The sequence below is a fragment of the Homo sapiens genome, chromosome 8, assembly GCF_000001405.40.
Source record: "Homo sapiens chromosome 8, GRCh38.p14 Primary Assembly".
NCBI classification, from domain to species: Eukaryota; Metazoa; Chordata; class Mammalia; order Primates; family Hominidae; genus Homo; species Homo sapiens.
Window position 1 is genome coordinate 78,793,052 of NC_000008.11, and position 27,750 is coordinate 78,820,801.

The 27,750-nt window shown below is 36.5% G+C and overlaps 1 protein-coding gene and 1 long non-coding RNA gene across 15 annotated transcripts in view; one reads left to right on the forward strand and one right to left on the reverse strand.

Annotated features, from left to right (window-relative positions):
- IL7 (interleukin 7) overlaps positions 1–12,412 on the reverse strand; it is a 130,420-nt gene extending 118,008 nt beyond the window's left edge. For all 6 annotated transcript variants that reach the window (XM_011517523.4, XM_011517522.4, NM_001199888.2 and 3 more), the window contains exons 1-2: positions 11,862–12,412; positions 5,021–5,157 (exon numbers count right to left, since the gene is read on the reverse strand). In XM_011517523.4, the coding sequence (XP_011515825.1) occupies positions 5,021–5,157; positions 11,862–11,871 (147 nt within the window). In that variant the 5' untranslated portion in view covers positions 11,872–12,412. The remainder of the gene's footprint in view (positions 1–5,020; positions 5,158–11,861) is intronic.
- Positions 11,421–27,750, forward strand: part of MITA1 (metabolism induced tumor activator 1) — a 133,238-nt gene continuing 116,908 nt past the window's right edge. For 8 of the 9 annotated variants that reach the window (XR_001745967.2, XR_001745970.2, XR_001745965.2 and 5 more), the window contains exon 1: positions 11,421–12,644. This is a non-coding gene — a long non-coding RNA (metabolism induced tumor activator 1). Of the gene's footprint in view, positions 12,645–14,161; positions 26,396–27,750 lie in introns of those variants that run through there. The other variant, XR_007060969.1, reaches the window with a different exon arrangement.

The window sequence follows — 27,750 nt, forward strand, 5'->3', positions numbered from 1 at the left end:
ATGAAATACTAACTCCTGTTATCATATGGATTAATTTTAAAAACATTATACTAAGGCAAACAAGATCAATACAAAAAGCTGCATATCATCCATATGAATTATATACAAGACAGATGTGAAATGTCCAGAATAGGCAAATTCCTAGAGACAGAAAGCAGAATGCAGAATAGTGGCTGCCAGAGGCTAGTGATGGGGAATAAAGAGTTACTGCTAATGGGTAGAATATTTCTTTTGGCAATGATGAAAATATTCTAGAATTAGATAGTGATAATGATTGCATAATTTATTGCAGGCATACCTCAGAGATACTGTGGGTTTGGTTCCACTGCAGTAAAGCAAGTATCACAATACAGTGAGTCATACAATTTTGTTTGGTTTCCCAGCATATAAAAGTTATGTTTACACTATACTGTAGTCTATTATGTGTACAATAGTCTTATGTCTAAAATAACAATGTATACATTTTAATTTAAAAAGAATTTTTTGCTGAAAAATGCTAACAATCATCTGAGCCTTCAGGGTGTTGTAAACTTTTTTGCTGGTGGAGGGCCTTGCTTCAACGTTAGTGGATGCTGACTGATCAGAGTGGTGGTTGCTGAAGGTTGGGTGGCTGTAGTAATTTTTAAAATGAGGCAACAATGAAGTTTGCCACATAGATTAACTCTTTCTTTCATAAAAGATTCCTCTGTAGCATGTGATACTGTTTGAAAGCATTTTATCCACAGTAGAACTTCTTTTAAAATTAGAGGCAATCCTCTCAAATCCTTCCATTGCTTTAACAACTAATTTTGTGTAATATCCTAAATTTTTTCTTGTCATTTCAGCAATGTTCACAGCATCTTTACTCAAAGTAAAATCATTTCAAGAAACCACTTTCTTTGCTCATGCCTGAGAAGCAACTCATCATCCATTCCAGTTTTATCCTGAGATTTCAGCATTTCAGTCACATCTTCAGGCTCCACTTCTAATTCTAATTCTCTTGCTATTTCTACCATATCTGCATTTACTTTCTCTATTGAAGTCTTGAACCCCTCAAAGTCATCTATGACAGTTGGAATCAACTTCTTCCGAACTCCTGTTAATGTGGATATTTTGACCTCCTCCCATGAATCACAAATGTTTTTAAGGACATCTACTACAGAACAATGAATGCTGTTCACAAGGTTTCAATTCTTTGCCCAGATCTATTAGATGAATCATTATCTCTGGCAGCCATAGCCTCAAAAATACATGGCTTAAAAAATAAGGCTTGAAGGTTGAAACTACTCTTTGATTCACGGGCTGAAAAACAGATGTTATATTAGCAGTTATGAAAACATTAATATCCATCAGCACTCTTGGGTGACTAGTTTTGCATTGTCAATGAGCAGTAATATTTTGCTAAAACTTAAAGTCACCAGCTGCATTTGTCCCTAACAAGAGAGTTAGTTTGTCCTCTTAAGCTTTGAAGCCAGGCATTGACTTCTCTTCTTTAGCTATGAAAGTTCTAGATGTCGCCTGTTTCCAGTAGAAGGATGTTTCATCTACATTGAAATCTGTTGTTTAGTGTAGCCACTTTTACCAATCATCTTAGCTAGACCTTCTGGATAACTTGCTGAAACTTCTACACAGGCCAAAATTGCTTCTTTACTACTTCCAGAACACCATTTACATCTTTTTGTTTCTGAGCTTGTTTTACAACCAGTCTATTTGTTAGATGATAAGCAGACATCTAACAAACAGGAAGTCACTCTTCCTACTTTTAAAACTGTAACTTGCATTATTCACCACCAATCTTTAACACTCACCAAAATGTAAGCTTCTTGAAAAAAGATCTGTACTTGGTCCATCATTCTATCCACACCCAAACCCAACATCACCTACACAAATGGGTTTTTCATAGTAACTTGTACATATCAGGCCCTAAATAAATGTTTGCTGATTGAATAAACTATCACAGAGATTGTCCTTGGGAGGTAGGAGAGTGGGGTAGAGAGCATGGACAAAGATTCTGGCTCGGTCACTTATAAACTGGATAACCCTGGGCCTCAGATTCTTCTGTTGTGAAACGGAGGTAGTAAGAGTGTCTTTCTCAAGGGCTGTTGTAAGGATTAAATTAGTTAACACATGGAAAGCACTGAGAACATAACAAGCACTTCATAACTATTAGTATTATGGTCTCCCCAAGACTTAAACACAGTAATGTCTGCAAAGCATCTAGTCCACACTGAATGAATGAGTAACTAAATCTGCTCTACCAGTCATGTTGACATTAATAATTCATTGAGACTTTCTTTCTCCTTCCCTCAAATTTATCACCTTCTATGTATAGAAAACATTCTTAAGGTTACTATGGAACTACTCAGTTGGACTGATTAGCTGTGTTCTCTTCCATGTCTTGTGAATTAACCTCCTTAAGAAGAGTAGCCATGTTTTGTTTTTTGAAAATAATATAATTATTGCTGCTGATGTACTTGTTCTTGTTTTGTGTGTTAATGAGATAAGCTCCTCTATATTCTCCCACCAAAAAAATGTGTCATGAGTCTGTTGGATGAAACTCTCCTTTTACTGAATTTTTAATAGCATATTATTTTGCACTTTTATACACATATAGTTATTTATAAATGTTGAACTAGCACTAGTTTGTTCTCTGCCCAGATAACAAAATTAAATGAGAAATATTATCTTGACTCAAAAGATTAATTTAGTAGCATCATCAAATGCAATGTCCAAATTAGCAAGAAATCTAAATGGAGCAATTGCCATTTACTGTGCACTATTTTTTTTCTTGTCAATGGGCAAAATCAGGAACCTCTGGATTACAATGTACAGTGTAGCACAGTATCTCTTTTTAGTTTCCATATTCCTACAAGAGGTATAACACTAAATTCCTCAAGGCATCATGCCACTTCAGTATGAGTATGTGGAAGAGACAGTGGAGTAAAAGTCGGGGGACAGATTAGACAATTTCTCCCATCTTATGAACATTTGAGAGAGTTTTCCTTTGCTATTCAGTTTCAATCTGATTGAAAAGAGACTAATTATCTGTTAAAACAATAAATCAATCACATTGTATTGATACAGCTCTGAAACCTTGGAAAAAATTAACTCTTGCAGATGACATGATTGTCTATGTAGAAAATTCCTAATAATCAACAACAGACTTCTAGAACAAACAAGTGATTATAGTAAGGTTGCAGGACATAGGTTAATATACAAAAATCAATTGCTTTCCTATGTACCAGCAATAAACAACTAAAATTTGAAATTAGAAACACACCATTTAAAATAGCACTAAAATATGAAATATTTAGGTATAAGTCTAATAAAATATTTACAGGATTTATATGCTGAAAAGAACAAAGCTCTGATGAAAGTTTGCATTTTCAATTGCATCTTCTTTTGCAGAGTTTTACACACATATAATTATTTACAAATGTTGTCACAGTAATACTCATTTGTTCTCTGTCCAGATAATACAATTAAATGATGAAAAAAATTAAAAAAGAGATAGTGCATGATAATGGCTAAGAAGACTCAATATTGTTAAGATTTCAGTAAAAATGTGAGTTCAGACACCTCAGCAAAGCAGATATACAAATGGCAAAAAGTATCTGAAAAGATGGTCAACATTGTATGTCATTATGGAATGGAAAATTGAAACAACACTGAGATACTATGACAAGCCTATTAAAATGGTTAAAATCTGCAAAACTGATAATACCAAAGGCTGGCGAAGATGGAAGGCATTAGGATCTCATTCATTGCTGGTAAGAATGCAAAATATTACAGCCACTTTGGAAGAAAGTTTGGCAGTTTTGTACAGAGCTAAACACAGTCTTACCATATGATCCAGCAGTCATGCTTGTAGGTATTTACCTGAGTTGAAAACTTATGTCCACACAAAACCCTGCACGTATATGTTTATAGAAGTTTTATTCATAATTTCCAAATATTGGAAGCAACTGTGACACATTTTTCAATCAGTGAAAAAATAAACAAGTTGTGGTATATCCATTCAATAGACTGTTATCCAGCAATAAGAAAAAATGAAATATCAAACCACAAAAAATCATGGGGGATGCTTTGATTCACATTGCTAAGTGAAAGAATCCAGTCTAAAGAGGCCACATACAGACCGCATGATTCTAACTATATGACATTCTAAAGAAGGCAAAACTACAGAGACATAAACAAATCAGTGGTTACTAGGAGTTCAGGGGAAGAAAGAGAAGGATGAGTCGGTGGATAGGAGATTTTTACCATATGATTTGTATGATATGTAATCACGGATATGTGATGGTATACATTTATCAAAACCCATAAAACTATAAAACATAAAGAATGAATCCTAATGTTAACTATGCACTTATGTAATGTATCAATGCTGGCTCATCAATTGTAATAAATGTGCCATACTGATGTAAGATAATAAGGGAAACAGTGCAGAGAGAGAGAGAGCATATGGGAATTTTCTACTTTCTGCTCGAATTTTCTAGAAACCTAAGTTGGCTCTAAGGTATAAAATCTATTAATTAGAAAAGCTTTAACCATCAAAAATAGAAAATTTAACTCATAACAAATTATTGATTACACATAGATATAAAATACACACATATAAATAACTATGCATCTACACACAGCCAAATAAAATACACATCTATTCACCATAAGTCTTAACTATTTACTCTGTTATTTTCCCACTCTTAATGTAATGCTTCTACAGGGACTAACATGGTAAATGGGAGGTGAGGAAATTTAGGCAGTGATACTGAATTATGCTTACAAGAAATTTACTAAAAGGGAAATAGGACTGAAATGAATAGTTGTGAGAATCTTAGAGTCGAGGAAAGAATTATTTTTAAGCTACATAATTATGTCAGCTATAAAAATATACAGTTAGTAGCTCATTAAATTTTATTCTATAGTTACTTCACTTTCTTGTCAAGAAAGATGAATACTTGATTATAAAACTGCATACCAAAAAGGTTCAAATTTTCCCAATGCATGAAAATGTGAGTAAAACAAAATAATCACATACCAATAATTGATCGATGCTGACCATTAGAACACTCTCATATTGTTTGCCATCTTTACCTTCAATATCACAATCAGATGATGCTACTGGCAACAGAACAAGGATCAGGGGAGGAAGTCCAAAGATATACCTAAAAGAAACTAAATTTGACAGTAAATAAGAATGAGCTAAATGTTATATCGTATTGCATTTGATTGTGGGGTTTCAATGGACTGGACCACTAATTTCTAATAATTTTAAAAATACATCTTGGTTTGGAGATACTACAGGAAGAACCTCAAAAGTTGAACTTATGTAACAACCAAAGTGGAACAGCATTTTGGAGTATAGCGTCCTTTCACTTTTTTATTTTGCAATTACTCTTTAGGAAAGTGCAAAACAAGGGTGATGAAATCATAGACTGCTTCTGAAAAACACTCCAGGGTGTTAATCAATTTGAATTTATGTTGAACATCCCCATAAGAAAAGGCATATACAGGTAAAGAGGTGCACTACAGTTCGAAGAGTTACATATTGTTGGAATTTTATGATGTACTGCACGTAATTGTATATTTTTGTAAACCTTGATGGTAGTCCATGTCTATTTGCTTCTTGGAGGCAACACTGTGGGAGGTTAATCTCCCTGGGATTGCACTGTAACTACTGTAAGTGCACTCTTTCTTTTTAATAATGAACCCTGAAGGGTTTACATTCCCAAAAGTCTTACAAAGTTTATGTTTGTATTTTGGGACTACTCTCCTATCCTTTCACTATCTTCTGTCTCTGAGTCCCCAGAGACCCAGATTCTTTTCAAACACAGCGCTATCCAGCTTCTTGTCATGTTAGAAAAACTCTGTAAATAAATTCACATCCTCAGATAGAAACCAATGATTTCTATCTGTTTTTGATAACTCTTCCCAATTAGGAGCAATTGTCTAATCAAAAGGACTGAAATAATGGTATTATTTCAGGCAGAAAGATGGAAAGCCAGTGGTTCCCACAAACATTAAAATCTGATCATACAGGGACCTATTTCTTCATAAACCTGCCATAGTGTCTTATTTGTATCTTTTTGTAAACTCTGAGGCATGTTGACAATGTATTTCCTGTGAATTTCCCAAATGAACTTCAATTGTACTTGAATGCAAGATATTTCACTTGTGTGCCTTCTCTGATTAAGAGTACAAGCAACACTCCTTCAAACCCAAGGAACTAATATTGTGACAGCCTGAAGACTGTTAGGGATATCATAAAGTTTCCAGTAACATTGTCATCTATTATATCATGATCTGTCATATAAAACAATCAATAACACCTCCCAATAAATCAAGTGACCCATGTTGTTACAAATAGAGAAAATTTTCTGGGTAGCAATTATGAAAACAAACATAAATCTAACTTCTCATCTGCATATGTGACAACATAGTAAGAGAAACAAAAATTGATAATTTTATTTATACAAATATATTAATAACTCTGCCACTAAGTGCCTATATGCATGATGAGCATGAATTAACTTAGGAGACAGATAATGATGATGATGCTAGTTACCTTTAGTTGAGTACCTACCATGTGTCAGGAACTTTATATATAAAATCTCATATATATATATATGATTTATAAATATCCAAAAAGTTCTGCAAGTTAGTCTTTCTGTAACACATACATAGTAGGTGCCAGGTTTGGATGCTAACCTGAATTTGTTGCTTTACCAGGATTCGATTAGAAATGGCCATAATCTATTGATAACATGTAATCACATTTGTCTTCTGAATGAAGTTTTGCCTCTCTCTTCTACTCCTGTTCCTTCAACCTAAAGATCCTCAGTGATCAATTGCTAATTTAAAAAAAATATTTTGGCAATTAAAAAAATGTACACTCATAGATTTAAGGGGGACCAGAGCAGATTTCTTACTAATACATATTTAATATACTGTACAGTGGTGAAGTCTGGGCTTTAGTGTATCTATCACCTGAATAGTGAACATGGTACCCAATAGGTAATTTTTCAATCCTTATCCCCCTCCTACTCTCCCACCTTTCAAAGTCTCCAATGCCTATTATTCCACCCTGTATGTCCATCTGTACCACTGTTTAGCTCCCAGTTATAAGTAAAAACATGCAGCATTTGACTTTCTGAGTCATTTCACTTAGATAATGGCCTCAAGTTTCATCCATTTTGCTGCAAAAGACGACTTAACTCTTATGGCTGAGTAGTATTCCATGGTATACATATACCACATTTTCTTTTTTTCTCCCTCTCTTTTTGAGACAGGGTTTCACTCTGCTGCCCAGGCTGGAGTGCAGTGGCATGATCATAGCTCACTGAAGCCTCAAATTCCTAGGTTCAAGCGATCCTCCTACCTCAGCGTTCTGAGTAGCTAGGACTACAGGGTGCCCCACCATGCCCAGCTAATTTTTTAAAATTTGTTTTTAGCAGACGGCTCTTACTCTTTTGTACAGACTGGTCTTGAACTCCTGGGCTCAAGCAATCTTCCTGCCTCAGCCTCCTTAAGTGTCAGAATTACAAGCTGTAATTACAAGCCCGGCCATACCACATTTTCTTTATCCAAACCTCTGCTGATGGACATTTGGATGATCAATTGCTAATTATTCACCAGATTCTGACCTTGTAATCAGATTTGTATAGATTGTATGAAATCATACTTTTTATTTTCTCTGTCATCTTACAGGGGTCCAAAAGGTATACTTCGGGAGGAGTAGATGATAGAGGAAAAATTATATAACATATAACTTGAAATGAGCTTAAAGGAGAATATAATAAAATAATTAAATGCTAGAGTGAAAGGGATACTTTTACCATTATCATAAATATTCCAAAGGTCCACCTTTTGTTTTAATACATGAGGTTGTTTTACTTGCTATGAGCATTAGCTGTCTTCTTCACCTCAATTTTCAGTAGTTAAGTGCTCCTCAAATTTAAATCAACCTATTTATTCACCGGATGGCATTTTGTGCATTCTTTCCAATGAGGGTTGCTGGAAAATTCAGTCTTTTTGTATATTACACGTACTTTCTCAATTTTAAAACATAATTTGCCTTGCCTGTTAAGAGTGTTTTCTGTTGCCATTGTTGTCATTGAATAATTAGCCCCAGACAGACTATGGCAATATAAAGCACAGAGGTTTTGGAATTAAAATTCTCATAATAATAATTATAATGCATGGCTTCCTGCAGTTTGTTTCAAGAGATTTCACTAGAAGCTTGTTCCATTAAGAGTGCACATAATGTTACTCTTTACCCTTTGTCTATGCCATTTCTTTTGAGAGTTGAAGTAGTTGAGGATCTACTATGTGGTCTCCAACTGTCTTATCTGGTTTGGGTAATTTCATCATATTTGAGGACCAAAAAGTTGAATAGCAATAAAAACAGACTCTACTTGGGAGGCTGAGGCAGGAGGATTGTTTGAGCCTGGAAGTCAAGGCTGCCATGAGCCATGATCTTACCGTGAGCCATGGCCGTAAGCCATGGCCGTGAGCCACGATCTACTGAGCCTAGGCTGAGTAGTCAAGTCAAAACTTGAGACTTTTGACTTGCCAAGACAATGGTTTGTGTGACTGTGTAAATGACACAGCATCTCTTAAGGTCACTTACCTGATTTCTAAAATGAAAACTTCAGACTAAATGATCTTTTTCATCTTGCAGACACCTTATTCTAAGAATCTACCTGGTCCTCCAAATGCAGAAACTCTTTAGATCTGAAATTGCCTCACGGACAATGCTGCAAACATACCTAGGGCCTTGGACCCACATCTCATAGGTTCCCAGCTCTCCCATTAATGATGTAGCTTGGTAGTTTGGTCCATAATTGAAGACCTTTCTCCTACATCACATAGAGAGTAACATATTAAGAATGGCTGGTTTGAGAGTGCTTTTGGCATTGTTGTCACACCCACACTCCCCACCATCCTGAACTTTTCATTAGGTTACCGAAAAGATAAACCATAGGAATAACGCAAGGCAAGCGTGGCTTGTGGGATTGCCCTTACTTCCCCTGAAGAGGCTGAAATTGGAGAATTTGTTTTCAGTAGGGAATTTGGTTAAACCAGAAGGAGGTCTGTCTAAAAATTCTTGTTGGTTTTTAATGTAAGCCAAATAATACATTCAATCCTCAGCTGCTTAAGTTATGGGGGTCAAAGTTAACATAAATAGTTTTCTACAATCCATCAACTCCAGTCTTTATCAGTCTTTAAAACCAGTGTTTACTGAATGTCCATTGCATAGACCTATTTTCACTGATAATTTAATTCCATAACCACTTCATGAAGAAGTAGGTAAGTACTACAAGTTATTCACATTTATAGATGGAGAATCTGGGGCACAAAGACAGTCATGTAGGAAAATTCCTTTCGTATTTTTCTCTCTCTTTTTTTTTTTTTTGATATGGAGTCTCATTCTATCATCTAGGCTGGAGTGCAATGGTGCGATCACGGCTCACTGCAACCTCAGCCTCCCAGGTTCAAGTGATTCTCCTCCCTCAGCCTCCTGAGTAGCTGGGATTATAGGTGCCCACCACAACGCCTGGCAAATTTTTTTGTATTTTTAGTTGAGACGAGGTTTCACCATGTTGGCCAGCCTGGTCTCGAACTCCTGACCTAAGGTGATCTGCCCACCTCAGCCTCCCCAAGTGTTGGGATTACAGGCTTGAGCCACCATGCCTAGTCAGAAAATTCCTGTACATAATATAGATATGGAATTCAAATCCAAGACTGTCACATTGAAGAGTCTAGAACCTCAGCTTTTAGGCACTGAACTACATTGCTTCCTTAAAAAATAACCATATATGTGTAGTCAAGGGGATTGCATAAAAACCCATCTTCCTGTGCATGAACCTCACTAAGGTACTTCCTGGCCAAACTGTGAAACTGCATCATATGCTTTTATTTCAGAAAAAGAGACTAAATATTTGTTCTTGTTACAGTAGGTTATGTGTCAGGGTTAAAAGCAGAAAAAAAAGTCACATAGATGAGTGTGAATATGACACGTAAGTTCGTTCTATGAAATGGCCTTTTCCATTTTTTAAAAAAATATTCAAACACTAACGTGATGCAGTTTGTAATTCTCCTTTATGCTTGTTCAGGGTTTCTAATATTAGTTCTCTATTATTATTTTTTGAGACAGGGCATCACTCTGTTGCCTAGGCTGGAGGACAGTGGTAAGATCATGGCTCACGGCAGCCTTGACTTCCAGGCTCAAGCAATCCTCCTGCCTCAGCCTCCCGAGTAGAGTCTATTTTTATTGCTATTCAACTTTTTGGTCCTCAAATATGATGAAATTACCCAAACCAGATAAGACAGTTGGAGACCACATAGTAGATCCTCAACTACTTCAACTCTCAAAAGAAATGGCAAAGACAAAGGGTAAAGAGTAACATTATGTGCACTCTTAATGGAACAAGCTTCTAGTGAAATTTCTTGAAACAAACTTCAGGAAGCCATGCATTATAATCATTATTATTAGAATTTTAATATTTTGTCTGCTAATGAAAACTTATAGCCCATGATTCATATAACTGTGCTTCAGGAAGTAAAGGCTTTTTCTGAAAAATGCACACGCTAGCTTCCTTTTCTCAGTTTACCTTTCTACTTTAGAGCAGAGGTGTTGCAAGGATTAGAACCAAGGGTGATCCAGAAGAAGAAACTGCAGAACTATGGGCATTGCAAGGAAAATAGGGTTGTGCTCAATTTTTAGTTTTGTATTAAGCTCCGGGAGGACATTCCTTAGAAGTCCTCCATAATTACGTTGGCTATTCTTTCCGCTCTCTCTATCTTTGTTTTGTTACTGAGCTGGCACTCCTTGGTTGTGTCAATTCTTGATTCTTTACCCACGAGAGTGGAAAGAAGTCTTGATCTAACGGAGTAGCCATCAAAAGAAAGAGCAGTCAGTTTCCTATTCCCGCACCCTCCCCCCAGCTGTCTTCTTGCTTGAGGAAGTACTTACTGTAAAGCATTCCAATTTTCCTAAGCAGATCTTTTCCCCTCACAATCCTTTTTCCTCTTTTTTAATTCCAGTAAGTTTTTTGGCTCTTTCATTGGTCATATATGACTGCCATCCGAATCCAACCCTCCTGAATTCTGTCCCTGTCCATTCTAAATCCGTATTCTGCACAAATAAGATATATTAGGTCTCAATACTGGTCTGGAAGTTAGAGTCACGCCTATTTCATTCTGCCTCCATCAAGAAGCGCCCGTAGGAAAAAATAACAACAAAAACAAAAACAAAAACAAAAAAACCCAGAAGCTGGCCTTCCTCAGCGCCAGCCCCAGGACTGGTTTCCCAGCAATAGGCGCAAGGTACAGCCCTTGCCGGAAACTCCCAGTCTTACTCAGGGGGGAAAAATGGGGTTTTCCGGAGACCTGTTCCCCTAGGGTTTAAAAGCGCGTCCCGTGGGAGCTTCGCTTTCACTTCTCTAGGGAGTTCTGAGCTGCAAGAGCCCAGCTACTCGCCGAACCCGGGCCGCCTGCGTGAGTAACTTGGGGCGGCCAGGAGCACGGGAAGGGCGCCAGACAGAGAGCCTTTGGCTGCTTCTGAGACCGGCTGTGGGCTGCCACCGCTGAGCGGCGCGGAGGCTGCAGCGTTCCCTCTCAGGACAGAAAGCAGGCGTTGGGGACTGTTACTCGCAGCCTGCCAGGGGCAGCAGCCGCCCCAGGTTCAAGTGGCTATGTGCCAGGATACTCAGGCGCGGCTGTTGGCTGCCCATGGGAGAGCCAGTGCTCTCCGCAGGTCCAAAGTGCAAGGCCGGGCTATTCCCGGACTTGCCTAGGAGCAGGGGCCCCCAGCGCGTCTGGGATTGCCCCGGCGCGTCGGGCGCGCGAACTTGTGCGCAAGGGAGAAGAGCGCTTACCATGGAACATGGTCTGCGGGAGGCGGGCGTAGTCATGATGACCGCAACTGGAGCAGGAGCAAGCTCTCACCGCCCATAGTCACTCCCAGGACCCTGGTCTTCCGCGGAGTTGCCGAGTCTGTGTTGGGCAGGGTGATCTCTGCAGCTGGTTCCTCTTACCCACGCCGCGACTGCAGTTTCATCCATCCCAAGGGGGGCGGCACACACTACGGCGTGGCTCTGCGCTTTGCCTTTTCCATAACTTCCGTAGGATCCGCCAGCAGTGTACTTTCAGTTTCTACTTTGCGCTTGGTCTGCAGGTTCAATCTTTGGGATCATCAGCATGGAATCTTCATTATCCCCTCTCTCCTGGGCACCTGCTTCCCGCGCACCTGGATGAGGACCAGAGGAATTCGCGAATTTCCGAATCACCGCAGGAAAAACCAGCTGGCCTGAATCAAAGCAATTCTGGGTAAAAGACTTCCCAGATGATCTCTCAACGCCTTGGCAACGCTTGGCGACTGGGAGCTAGAACCATGAGTTGTTAATGTGTGCACGGAAGCCACAAGTGTGCAGGACGCAAGCTGGGTTATTGGAAGCGGACGACACCAAGGAGGCGTTGCCGCGGATGTGGTGGACGATGCCAAGTCGTCTTTTAAAAAAGGAAGTGAAGAATGATTAAGAGGGTCACGCCCTCTACCACTCCAACCTCTCTAATCAGTCTCTTTCTGCTCCGTCTGCTGTACATGCACCTGCTCAGGTGAGACCTCAAGGAAAAATAATCCTGTGGGTCCACCTAATCTGGTAAGTGTTGTATTTGGAAAATCAAACCCCAAATTAAACGCAGGACGTGGAAACTGACGATAATATTTAACTATGACTTCCACGTGCACATTTATCTGAATTGGCTAATAAATCAAACTATTCGTCTTGAATGCATGCCACTGAAATGTTAACTTTTTCCTGGGCTTGAATTATGTAGCTTATTTGCTACATTAGTTTGGTTTCTGCTATTCTGCAGAAACCCTGCTTAGATGAAGGTGGATAATGTAAACCAGTAACAACAGCGATAATAATAACGACTATCATTTATCTAGCATTTGCTCTCTGCCAGTTTTGTGCTAAGCATTTTATGTATATCATCTCATGCAAAACTTTGTGTGAGGTAGACCATTTTCTTATCTGCACTTTACAGATGTGGGGACTGAGACTTCCTTAAGTAACTTTCCAAATTTCACTTAGCTAACTGAGCTTAGACACAGACTTGCTGCATTTGGGCTGTAGAAACTCCTGCTTGGAACTCCTGTGAATAAAGTAATAATGTGCACACTGATGCCGGGAGGGAGATGACAGTACGTGTGTGGCTTTGCCCCAGTGTGGGGACTTCAGGAAAGTTTCCTGGAGTCTGTGACTTCTAAACTGACACTTGAAGAGGAATGAACTTGGGGCTGGTAAGGAGTATGTCACATTCTGCTATAGCGTGAACAAGGAAGAGGAGGGAAGGAGAAAGGAAAAAAAAGGATGGCAATGAACTAGGGAGAACAGAGTTGCTCAAGCCTGAAACTTGGGTCTCTGATTCCTTTTTTGGTCTCATTTCCCACATCAAATCCATAGACAAGTCCTGTCTGCCCCACCTCCAAAATTAACCCTAAGGTGACTATAGAGACTGTCTAAGGGATCTTCCAGCTTTCACTTTTGCCCACAACCCCTTCATTCTTCTCAGAGCAGCAGGATATCTGATTCTATTTTGTGCCCCACCTTCTGGTCACTTCCCACTGGGTACCAGGCCCTCAGTGCCCTGGTGATCTGGGCCCCACTGCCCTCTCTGACGTTTCGTGGTACCACATCACTATCCTCCAGCCACAATGGCCTTTCTCTTCCTGCCCAGCGTCCACTTACTATGGTCTTTAGCCCATGGCTGGCATTCAGTAAGTACTGGGGGGTGACAGAGTAAGAGAGAACAGGTGAGTGGGAATGCATCAGTGAATATGTGTGAAAGAGAAAGTTCATGAAAGCAGAAGGAAATAGAATGAAAGAGGAAGCGAAGGGGGTAAGCAAATGGAAAAGAGAGACAGAATGGAGTGAGAAAAGCCACATATTTCCATTTGACTGGAACCTAGAGTGGGAGGTGGGGAGGAGGACAGACATGACACTGGAGTGAGTTTTAAAAATGATTTCTATAATGAAACACGCCTAGGTTGGGGATTTATTTATTTATTTATTTATTTATTTATTTATTTATTTATTTTAAATCCCTGACAGCAGCATTGAAGTATGTAACTGTTCATAGCCTGCACCTTTTTCTTTTTTTAACTTTCCAGGAACAAAGTAAAAGAGCATCCATCAATACTTTGCACAAAAGGAAATCCGTCTTCCTTTTATCACAATCACCATAAATCCAGGTAGAATAAGGGTTGTACATATCTGAACTTTTGGGAAGCATGAAAGGAAGTTATTCAGAGCTGCAGGAAAGGCAATGTAAATGTTACACTGGATTCTGCCCCCAACTATAAAGAATCTTTCTGAAGAGAATATTCATAAAGCTTTGGGAATTGTTAGGGTTATATGAAATGGGCACATTCTAACAACATCAAGTAATGATTTTTTTTTTCTGTCTGTGAGATAATTAATACCATTTAGAAAAAAATCCAAAATGAAGTCTTAAATTAGCTTTTGATATTTTGATAAACTGAATATTATTTTTTATAAGATAGATGGACAAGAATAAAATGTTTATAAATTTTTAAAATGCTAATGTTTTATGATTAAAGAAATGGAATGGTTACTATTATGTTTGCTCATAGACTCAATGAACTGGACAGAAAAGCCTTTAAGGGAGAAAATAGTAAATACATTTTATGAATTATGGTAAATAAATTTTAAAAGAGAAGACAACATTCTCAGAATGATCAATATAATGTATTAGAAGAAGTTCAAATAAAATTATATGATGTCAATTTAAAGAGAAAATTATTGAACATTAACCAATATCTTTTAATGTTCTACAGTCTTCAGTCAGAATAGTCAATTATTGTAAACCAGAAAATATTTTTTGATTAATATCTGAACTATTTTTACCCAACTTAATATGACTACTTTTTGTAGTCTGTGATATGAATTCTATCTATCATTCTATCTATGGGTAGTATGAAGTTCTTTTTATTTAACTTTCCAGTAATAACATTCAACATATTTAAAACACACACACAGCGCCACACAGCCAACATTATGGATATATGATCTGTGTAATTGGCACAGGGCCTTGTACTTCATTTGATGCTCTGCTGTCACTGTATTGAAATTCCTCATTTTTAGATAAAGGGACTCTTATTTTCATTTTGCACTGGGTTTCAAAATTCTATAATGGTCATGCACACTCACACATGTTAAGTTACACATTGTGGATAGCAGTGTATGTCTTTGAGGTGATTTCAGTTTGGTGGGAAAAACAGATGTTAAATATCTAATTTCAAAGATGAAAAATATCATTAAAAGAGAAACATGATATATTATTTGAATCAGAAGTTTAAAGTAGTATAGGCCCATTTTCATAGTTAAATGAGGATCAATAAAGGTTAATTTATCTGTCCAATAAACAAGCAGCTATGAGAGGATGACCTGTAATTTGATAAAATTTAAATTTTACCAAATGACTAATGAGCGTCTATTTACATGGTCATGGTTTTTTTGCTGAATTCCTAAATAAACCATAAATTTAACATAATGCAACGTTCAAATTGGTAATATTTAACCTAGAATTTTACAGTTATAGTCATAATTGGGTTATGTTTATTTTTAATTTTATATTCAACTGATACTGGGCTAGTTTTGTCCAGTTATGCTAGTTTCATAAAATAAATTGGAAATTCTATTGTTTTCTAAAACTGTCAACTGTTAAACATGTGAACTATTTGTTTCTGGCAGACTTACTAGAGTTCAACAATAAAACTTACTTGATTCCGTGGATGAAGCCCAGGAATAGGACGAGACTGTCAGTTTTGAGCATTACAAGTGAGAAAATGAAGAAGGGTTTATTTTGAAGGCTGAATCAAAATAGCCATGTCAGACTGTCAGAACTTTGCTGGAGATGGGTATGTTAGCATATCAGTGATGGCCAGAGCCATGGAAATGAATGCAATTACTCAACCTGCATGTTAGAAGACAGAAGAGAGAACTAATGCTAGCAGGAATCTTGAGGCATGAGCAACCCTAAAAAGTAGCTGGAGAAAGGGGTGCCCATCAACAAAACAGACGAATACATAGTAGGCAGCAAAGTGGGAAAGTCAGAAGTCAGTGTCTCAGAAGGCAACGGAAAATAGAATTTCAAGATAGAGTAAGTAGCCAGTATTTCCAAATGTCACAAAGAGGTTGAATAAGATAGAGACTGAAAAGTGTGTCTATTAAATTTGGCAGAGCAGAGATTGTCCATGATCCTCATGGCAACAGTTTGAGAAGAGCAGTGTAGATGCAAATAATATACTAGCTTGCAGGGGTTGAGAGAAGAAAGAAATAAAGTAAGAGAATATAACTTTTACAAAATGTTTGGTAATAATAAAAGGGATAGGGTAATGATTTGAAAGGCATGGAAGTTTTTATTTTCAATTATTAGAAACACTTGAGCATATTTATATATTAATGGATAAAATTAGGTTCTGCAGAACGGGGAAAGCATGGAACCAAGAAACCCAAGATACTCTGTTGATTTCTTTTCTTATTTTCTCTCCATTTCTCCCTCCTCTTTAATTTCAGTCCCAAAATTCTATAATTCTAAACAATCAGAATCCACTCTCTATCTGGGGTCTAAATTTATGTTCCTTACTGAAATGTTCCCATCGGCACTCATCTAATTCTGGATTGAGTATTGGCTTGTCTAAGAAAGAAGTCTAATATTTCCCAAATCGCCTTTCAGAGAGGGCCGCTGTAGCTTTTACATAGATTTGCATTATCCAATCCCTTTATATGCTAATGTTGCATTGTTGGCAATCAGGGCTTTCTTTTATATACAGTCTTGCATCATTTAACAATATATTCCGAGAAATGATAAATTAACCTTTGCTTACTCTAACTATTTTTACTTTATAAACTTTTATTTTTTTCCAACTTTTTGACTCTTGTCATAACATTTAGCTTAAAACACAAACACATTGTACAGCTGTTGAAAATATTTTCTTTCTTTATATCCTTATTCTATATGCTTTTTTCTTACTTTTTAAACTTTTTTGTTAGAAACTAAGACACAAACACACATATTAGCTTAGGCCTACACGGGGTCAGGATCATCATCACTGTCTTCCATCTCCACATCTTGTCCCACTGGAAGGTGTTCAGGGACAATAACATGCATGGAGCTGTCATTTCCTATGATAGCAATGCCTTCTCCTGGAATACCTCTTGAAGGAGCTGCCCGGGCTGTTTTACTGTTAACTTTTTTTTTAATAAGTAGAAGGAGTACAATCTAAAATAATGATAAAAGTATAGTAAAAGCATAAACCAATAACATAATTGTTTATTATCAGGTGTTGGGTGCTGTACAGTATTGCATGTGGTATACTTTTATAGGACTGGCAGTGCAGTAGGTTTGTTTATGCCAGCATCACCACAAACACATGAGTAATTGGTTGTGCTAAGTTGTTACAATGGCTACAATGTCACTAGGTGACAGACATTTTTCAGCTCCATTGTAATCTTAGACCACTGTCCTGCAGGCAGTTCTTTGTTATACAGTGCATGACTGTACTAGATTTTGGAGGGACTATGCTTTCAACCACTGCCTTTATAGAAGATTAATTAGAAAAGAATACACCTACAACAAATTTCTTCATGCAAACTGAAAAAAATGTAAACATATTTTGTTTAAATCACTGGATAGATTCCCTTTATATGATCCAGTTACTATATGAAGATGTCAACTTGTTCTTATGAGCTCTTGGAGAGCAGTTACTATCTTTTTCAACCTGGAATTCTCTGTAGTCAACAGAATATGTTTCAGTTTACAAATTCTACCCATGTATGACTTGTGGAAAAGGGAGACATCAGACTGCACAAGTCTTGACTCGCTGTTATTACACAGAACCATATCTGAGCGAACTTGTGTTCACATCCAAGAATGTTACAAAACCAACTACTGATTGATATTGATATATCTAAAGTTGTGACAAGCTTGTTAAAATTTTAATATTTAATATAGATTTAGACTTCTTTTCCTAATATGGAAGGCTGTCTAATATGGAAGCCTTCTAATATTTAATATAGATTTTAGATTTCTTTTCCTAATATGGAAGTCTTCCTAATATGGAAGGCTGTCTTGTTGAAATCCTTTTATTTTTAGATTAGAAATTAATCCAATCTACCTTTCCTTCAGGCAAGCCAGGTTTGATGCAAGCCAGGTTTGGTTCAAGCCAGGTTTGTCTTTGCCTTAGACTATTATTGGACTCTTAGTACATCCATTAACTCATATACAATGTAAAATGATTAGGTTTATTGCAACAGTAATGACATCATAATCTAGAAATATAGTGTATGTCCCTGAGTTTCTGGGGTATCAGTCATTTTTCTATGTCAATAACGTGTCAATTAACTGGCATCCTACAAGCCTGGAACTACCATTAATGTTTTCTCCAAATAATTTAATATGTTATCTGGCAATGACATATATATTTCAATGAGAAAAGCACAAAAAATGAAATTTTTAAGAGACGAAAACACTAAGCCATGGAGTTTCATGTGCCAATGATTTCTTCTTCAAACCATGGAGCAGTGTGTCATCTATTTCTTGAGTAACATTTTATTAAATGTCGGCTGTATGCTTTCATTTCCTTGTTTCTTTTTCTAACAATTCTCCACTATGTTTTACTAAAATGTTTTTCAATTATGTCTTTCTCATTTTTAATGTTTTTAATTTAATTTTACATTGACCGATAAAATTGTCTGTTTTCAAGTATATATAAATTGTGAAATGAATAATCTAGTTACCATATGCACTACCTCACATACCTATCATTTTTGTGATAAGAACACTTACCTTCACTCTCAGCATTTTTTAAAAATATAATATATTGTTATTAACTGTATCACCATATTGTACAGTAGATCTCTTGAACTTATTTATTCTGTCTAACTGAAATTCTATATCCTTTGACCAACATCTCCTCAACTTCCCCTACAACCACTCCAGCTCCTGGTAACCATGGTTCTTCTCTTTATTTCTAAGAGATCAGCTTTTTTAGATTCTATGTATGAATTAATAAGATCAGGCAGTATTTGTCCTTCTATGCCTGGCTTATGTCACTTAACATAATGTCCTCCAGGATCATCAATTTTATTGTAAACCACAGAATTGCATTCTTTTTGTGGCTGGATAGTATTCCATTGTGTATATACAACATATTTTCTTTATTCATTCATCCACTGATGGACATTTTGATTCTACATATTGGCCATTGTGAATAATGATGCTATAAACACAAGACTGCAGATATCTATTTGAAATACTGATTTCATTTCCTTTGGATGTATACCAAGTAGTGGGATTACTGGGTCATATGGTAGTTCTACTTTTATTTTGTTGAGAAACTTTCACACCATTTTCCATAATGGCTGTATTAATTTACATTCCTACCAACAGTGTTCAAATGTTGCCTTTAATTCACATCCTAGCTAAAGTTATTATTGTATGACTTTTTCATAATGACCTTTCTAACAGGAGTTAGGTGATGCCTCATTGTGGTTTTAGTTTGAATTGCCCCAATGATTAGTGATGTTAAACGTTTTTTTTCATATATCTGTTGATCATTTGTATGTCTTCTTTGAGGAATGTCTGTTCAGATCCTTTGCCCATTTTTAAATCAAGTTATTCTTTTACTTGCTATTGCGTTGTTTGCATTCCTTATATATTTTGGATATTAACCTCTTAACAGATCTATCATTTACAAATATTTTCTTCCATTCTGTAGGTGTCTTCTCTCTCTGTTGTTTTGTTGTCTGTGCAGAAGGTTTTTAGTTTGATGTAGTCCTATTTTTCAATTTTTGCTTTTGTAGCCTGTGTTTTTGGAGTCATATCCAAAAAGTCATTGACCAGGTCCATGTCATGGAGTTTTTCTCCTATGTTTTCTTCTAGTAGTTTCATAGTTTCATGTCTTACATTTAAATCTTTAATCCATTTTGAGTTAATTTTGTATATAATCTGAGATAAGAATCTAATTTCAATCTTCTGCATTTGGATATATAATTTTCCTGAAATCATTTATTGAAGAGATTGTCTTTTCCCTGTTGTGTGTTCTTGGCTCCTTTGTCAAAAATTAGTTGGTTATAAATATGTGGATTTTTGCCTGGGGTTTCTATTTTGTTCCATTGGTATACATTCTGTTTTTATGCCAATACCATGATGAGTTTTGGTTACTATAGCTTTGTAGCATATTTTGAAGTCAGAGAGTGTGATGCCTCTTGCTTTGCTCTCTTTGCTCAAGATGGCTTTTGCTCTTTGGTGTCCTTTGCAGTTTCATACAAATTTTAGGATTTCTTTTTGTATTTCTGTAAAGAGTGTCATTAGTGACTTGACAGAGATTGTGTTGTATGTGCAGATTGTTTTTAGTAATGTTGATATTTTAACAATGTTAATTCTTCCAACCCGTAAGGATTCAATATATTCCCATTTATTTGTGTCTTCCTCAATTTATTTCATCAATGTTTTATAGTTTTCAGTGTAACTATCTTTCATCCCCTTGATTAAATTTAATCCTGAGTATTTAATTCCTTTTGTAGCTATTGTAAATGGGATTCTTTTCTTGATTTTTTTAGATTGTTTGCTGTTAGTGTATAAAAATAATAATGATTTTTGTATGTTGATTTCATATCCTGCAACTTTGCTGAATTCCTTTATTAGTTCTAATATATTATATGTGTATAATTTCTGCATATAAGACCGTGTCATTTGCAAACAGAAAATTTGCCTCCTTTCTTTCCAGTTTGGATCCTTTCATTTCTTTCTTTTGCCTAATTGTTCTGGCTAGGACCTCCAGTCCTATATTAAATGGACGTGACAAGAATAAGCATCCTTGTCATGTTCTAGATTTAGAGAAAAACCTTTCAAGTTTTCCCCACTGAGTATAATGCTAGCTGTGGTTTTGCCATATATGGCTTTAATGTATTGAGGTACATTCATTTTATACCTATGTTTTTAATGGATGTTGCATTTTTTCACTTTTTCTGCATCTATTGAAATGATCATATGGTTCTTGCCTTTAATTCTATTAATGTGATGTACCACAATTATTGATTTATGAATTTTGTACCATCCTTGCATCCCTGGGCTGAATCCTATGAGATCTTGGTGAATGACTATTTTAAATGTACTGTTGAATTTGGTTTGCTGGTATTTTATTGAGGATTTTTTGCATCTATGTTCATCAGGGATATTTGCCTGTAGTTTTCTCTTTTTGTAGTGTCTTCATCTGGTTTTGGTATCAGTGTAATGCTAGCCTCATAAAATGAATTTGGAAGTATTCCATCCTCCTTGTTTTCTAGAACAGTTTGAAAGAATTGGTATTAGTTCTTCTTTGAATGTTTGATAGAATTCAGCAATGATGCCACCCAGTCCTGGGTTTTTATTTGATGGGAGGCTTCTTTATTGCTGATTCAATCTCCTTACCTGTTTTTGATCTGCTAAGATTTTCTACTTCTTGATAATTGACAATCTTGGAAGGAGGTATGCATCATTTTTATCCATTTTTTCTAGGTTATTCAATTTGTTAATGTGTAATTGTTCCTAATAGCCTTGTATGATCTTTGTATTCTTGTTTTATTGGTTGCAGTGTCTCTTCTTTTTTATTTTGGATTTTATTTGAGTCTTTTTTTTTTCTTACTCTCTTAAAGGTATCAATTTTGTTTGCCTATTCAAAAAAAAACCTCTTTGTTTATTTTTTCTAGTCTATATTTCATTTACTTTTGTTCTAGTCTTTGTTGTTTTCTTCCTTCTCCTAACTTTGGGCTTAGTTTGTTCTTCTTTTCTGGTTCCTTGAGAGACAGTGTTAGGGTATGTATTGGAGATCTTATGTTTTATTGCTATAAACTTCTCTCTTAAAACTGCTTTTGCTTTATTCCATAGGTTTTGGTATGTTGTGTTTTCATTTACATTTGTGTCAAGACATTTTTAATATCTCTTTTAAATTTTTCATTGACCCATTGGTTGTCCAGGAGCATGTTGCTTAATTTGCATGTGTTTGTGAATTTTCCAAAGCTCCTTTTGTTACTGATTTCTAGTTTTATGCCATTGTAGTGAGAAAATAAACTTGATACAATTTTAATATTTTAAAATGTGTTAAGACTTGTTTTCTGGCCTAACACATCATATATCCTGAAGAATATTCTATGTGTAGTTCAGAAGAATGTGTATTTTGCAGCTGTTGGATGGAATGTTATGTATACGTTTGATAGGTCCATTTGATCTATAGTATATTGGTTAAGTGATTATTCCTCATTAATTTTCTATGTGGATGATCTCTCTGTTGCTGAAAGTGGGATGTCCCTATTATTATTGTATTGCAGTCTGTATCTACCTTAAGATCTACTAATATTTGCTTTATATATTTAGGTGCTTTGATATTGGGTGCATATGTACTTACAGTTGTTATATCTTCTTACTGAAAATGCCATTATATAATGATGCTTTTTTGTCTCTTTTTACTAAAGAGGTCATTTATATAATGACCTGTGTAAAGAAGAGTCATTAATATAATGACCTTCTTTGTCTCTTTCTACAGTATTTTACTTAAGGTTTATTTTTATTTGATAGAGGTATAGCTACTCCTGCTCTCTTTGGATTCCATTTCCATGCGATGTCTTTTTGCATCTGTTTGCTTTTAGGTGAAGTGATCTTGTAGACACAAAATAGTTGAGTCTTTTTTTATGCATTCAGTCACTCCGTATCTTTTTATTGGATAATTTAATCAACACAATTATTAATAAGTAAAGACATTGCCATTTTCTAGTTGTTTTGTAGATCTTTTGTTCTTTCTTCCTTCCTTGCTGTCTTCTTTTGTGGCTAAGTGTTTTTCTCTAGCAACATGTTTTGACCCCTTGCTTGTGCGTGCATGTGTGTGTGTGTTTGTGTGTGTGTGTGTGTGTGTGTGTGTGTCTGTTTCTACTTACAGGTTTTTGCTTTGTGATTGCCATGAGGGTTACAAAAAACTTATTGTATTTATAACAGGTTATTTTAAACTGATTAAAATAAAAAAAAGAACAAGAAAACCAAAAAACCTCTATGACTTTACCCCATTTCTCCCTCCACATTTTAACTTTTTGTGTTGCAATTTGCATCTTTTCATATTGCATATCCCTTAACAAATTATTTTAGCTATTATTTTTAATAGTGTTATCTTTTAACCTTCATCCTAAAGATATAAATAATTTCCACACCATTTTTACAATATTAAAGTATTCTCAATTTGTGTACTTTTTCCCATGAGTTTTATACTTTCAGATGTTTTTGTGTTACATATCAGCATTCTTTTCTTTCAGACTGAAAAACTATCTTTAGCATTTCTTATAAGACAGTTCTGGTGGTGATGAGCACCTTCAGCTTTTGTTCATCTGGGAAGGTCTTTATAATGCCTGTATTTCTGGACAACTTTGCTAGGTGCAGTATTTTTGGTTGACAACCGTGTAGCAGGCTTTTTTTTTCCCCCTTGTATAAATCATCCCACTTTCTACTGGCTTTTGTAAAGTTTTAGCTGAGAAGTCTGCTGTTAGCTCTATTGAAATTTCTTATATATTATTTGTTTATTTTCTTTTGCTGCTTCCCAAATCCTCTCTTTGTCACTGATTTTTCATAGTTTTGCCATATATGTTGGGGTAGTCTTATTTGCATTTAATATGATTGGAGACCTTTGATCTTGCGTGTCTAGATATTTACAACTATGTTCAGGTTTGGAAAATGTCCTGCTGCTATTTCTTTAAGTAAGATGTCTGCCTCTTTATTTTTCTCTTTTTCTTCTTGAAGTCTAATGCCTTGAACATTTAATGTTCTTTTGAGACTATTCCATAAATGCTGTAAGCTTTATTTATTTACTTATTTATTTATTTATTCTCTGATGGTATATTTTCAAATAACCTAATTTTGAGTTCAAAGATTCTTTTCTTTACCTGATCATTCTGCTGTTCATGCTCTCAAGTGCATTTTTTATTTCTTTCATTGTATTTTCAGCTCCAGAATTTCTGTTTGGTTTTTTTATTACTTTCATTTTTCTACCAAATTTTTCATTTTGGTCACATTGTTTTCCTCATTTCATTGAATTGTGTTTCTGAATTTTCCTAAAGTACTCCAAGCTTCCTTAAAATAGTTATTTTGAATTATTTTTCAGGTAGTTAATACACCTGAAAAATAATTTATTTAGCATCTATTTATTTAGCATCTATTACTGGTACCTTATTTTGTCTCTTTAGTGATATATTTCATTGATTGTTTGTGATCTTTGTGGTTGTGTATTGAAGTCTGTGTATTTAAAGTAGGTACTCATCTTATTCTTTATAGACTTTTTTTTCTTGGAAAGCCCTGTGATAAGCATAGCACTGATGTATGCCAGAAGTTGGGGAAATTGCGACTAGCTTGCTGTTTCCAGAAGTTTGGGGTCCACTGTCATTGGTGCAGCACTGGGGTGGGCTAGAAGACTGGGGCAGATGCCACTGCAGTGCTGGAGTAGACCAGAATTCCAATGCAGCTGTGGCTGACATGGCACTGCCAGAAAACTGGAGCCTGCTATGACAGGCACAATGCTGGAATGAGCTGGAAGTCCAGGGCCATTGAGGCCTGCCTGCTACAGAGGGCTGTCTGGATCCTGGGTCTCCTGACATCAGCTCAGTGGTGTGGGATAGAGATTGAATTTGCCACGTAAGACTGAAGGCTTAGCCTGTGTGGTCCCACTGGTTATGAGGGAAGGCAGGCCTATAAGTTAATTTCAGGGGTACAAGTCTGGAATATGGGACCATGGGGCTCTCCCAAGTGCTTGATTTACTGTGGTGGGCCCAGTGTTGGGGTCCAAGGCAGAGTCCTGTGCTCACTTCCCTCTGTTTCCTCTAAGTGTACAATATCTCCCTACATGCTGTGCTGCCTGGGTTTGGGGGAGGGGTGATGCAAACAATCCAAAACTGTTCTTCTTACCCTCTTCAATGCATCTTTTCCTATTATTGTGCCACTATCAGGAACTATGATCTCTCACCTTGCTTCCCTGGCTCTTATGAAAGTATGTTCCTATGTGAAGAGTTATTCAAATTGATGTTTCTGCAGAGGGATTATCACTGGAGAGTTCTACTCTGCCATTTTGTTCCCTATCTGGATACGTTATGAATAATTATAAAGCCATCCTTTAAATGGGAAATCAGCAGAAGAATGTGATTGTAGAGGCTAAGAAGTTCCACAATAGACCATCCGTTTGCAAGCTGGAGAACCAGGAAAGCCAGTAGTATGGCTTAGTCCAAGTCTGAAAGCCTTACAACCAGGGAAACTAATGGTGTGTACCTATCAGTACAAGGCCACAAGCTTGAGAAACTTGGGGCCACTGGTACTGGACTCTCAGTCTTGGAGTCCAAAGTCTGATGAACCTGGGGTTCTCCTTTCCAAGGGCAAGAAAATAAGTCTGTCCCAGTTACAGAAGAGAGAAAGAGATAATTTGTCTTCCCTCTGTTTTTTGTAACCAAATAGTTTTTTTTTTTTCTGATCTTCCTTGGTAATACATTGCTTTAATCAGCATAATGTAAAATTTTATATTTTCTGTTATTTTCCTCATTTCAAAATGATATTCTGAATTATTTTCATTCTCTGAGACCTTTACATTTTTATCTAAATTAGATAAATGAGATCACTTTGATTCTATCTCTAAACTAATAGAAACTTTTATAACTTTCCTATTCTAAAATAAATTTCATGAAACTAGGGCTTTTTTTTTTTTCTTTTTGGCAGAGTTTCACTCTTGTTGGCCAGGCTGGAGTATGGTGGCGCGATCTAGGCTCACTGCAGCCTCCGCCTCCTGGGTTCAAGCGATTCTCCTGCCTCAGCCTCCCGAGTAGCTGGGATTACAGGCATCTGCCACCACGCTGGGCTGTTTTTTGTTGTTGTTGTTGTTGTTGTTGTTGTTGTTTTGTATTTTTAGTAGAGATGGAGTTTCACCATGTTGGCCAGGGTGGTCTCAAACTCCTGGCCTCAGGTAATCCACCTACCTCGGCCTCCCAAAGAGTTGAGATTACAGGTGTGAGCCACTGCACTTGGCTGAAATTAGGGCTATTTATCAAACATAAATATATCTGTCTATATTAAGCTATTTGAGTTTTATTTTTAAGCTTTTCAATACATGTAGTTTTCCCTTTATTTGAATGGTCTTATAACCTACAATGAGGTCTAACTGAAAAACAAAACAAGAACAAAAATATTGCATGTTCAGGTGTATTGATCATTTAAGAATAAGCCAATGGTTGAGACTAGAGATTTTTGCAGTCATTCTCCAATAATTACCAGATTTAAATCAGTGATTTAGAAATAAAATCCAAAACCAAACAAATCCCCAAAACATAAAACAATAAAATGGAAGACTTTCAACAGCCACATGGATCAGTACTAAAAGGCCAAAAAAAAAGAAAGAAAAGAAAAAAATCCAAGGAAAACTCCAAGGGTTAACTCTAGAAAAGATCAGGAGATACCAAGCAGGGCAATTTCCTGTTTGATGTTGTTTTAATCTTGACTAAAACTACTGTCTTCTTTATGACGTTAAATTTTTTATGAGTCTTTTTAGGCCCTTAATATCCTCAATAAATATTTGTTTTCTTGGCCTGAATTTGAATTAATACAACTTCTTCTTTTCTTCATCCTGTAACATCTTTATTGAATATGAAACTGCAAAAGGAAATAATTGAACTCTATCACAAAACTGTTCTTGCAAGTACACTTCTTTGGAAGTTCTCTTTCAGTACTTTCCCATTGTTTTGGTGCAGCTATTTTTTTTTTTTTTTTTTTTTTTTTGAGACAGAGTCTTGCTCTGTCGCCCAGGCTGGAGTGCAGTGGTGCGATCTCGGCTCACCGCAAGCTGCACCTCCTGGGTTCACGCCATTCTCCTGCCTCAGCCTCCTGAGTAGCTGGGACTACAGGCGCCCGCCACCACGCCCAGCTAATTTAATGCAGCTATTTCAATATACTATATCAGGTAATGGAATTAACTGGAATTTTGATTATCATGATAATAAGTAGTGGTTCAAACATTGTGTGTTTCCCAAACATTATTGTCAAGACAATGAGTTTCTTTCTCTGAAAAAGCACCACCAAAATTTTTGCATAGCTATTTGTTCTAGCAGTGTGCATCTTTCATTACTGGAAATAAAGGACAGGCTGGGTGCAGTGGATCACGCCTGTAATCCCAGCACTTTGGGAGGCTGAGGTGGGCGGATCACAAGGTCAGGAGTTTGAGACCATCCTGACCAACATGGTGAAACTCCATCTCTACTAAAAATACAAAAAATTAGCCTGTGTGGTGGCACACACCTCTAATCCCAGCTACTCAGGAGGCTGAGGCAGGAGAATTGCTTGAACCCATGAGGTGGAGGTTGCAATGAGCCAAGATTGCACCACTGCACTCTAGCCTGGGCAACAAAGCAAGACTCCTTCTTGAAAAAAGAAAAGAAAAGAAAAGAAAAAGAAATAAAGGCCAAATGGCAAAGACACATAATGGTAATCAGTTTTACTCTTTACTGGCCTATAAGATTTCCTGAACAGGTTTTATCTGTTTACTACTGTAAAAGTACTATATATACTGTCTGAAGAATCAAAGGAAATCTCATAAGGATTTCTTCTGTTGTCCTGCACTTCATTGATCAGGCTCATCCTTCTTTCTGGAAATAGTAAAGTTCAGCTTATAAATGTGCTCAAGTCTCT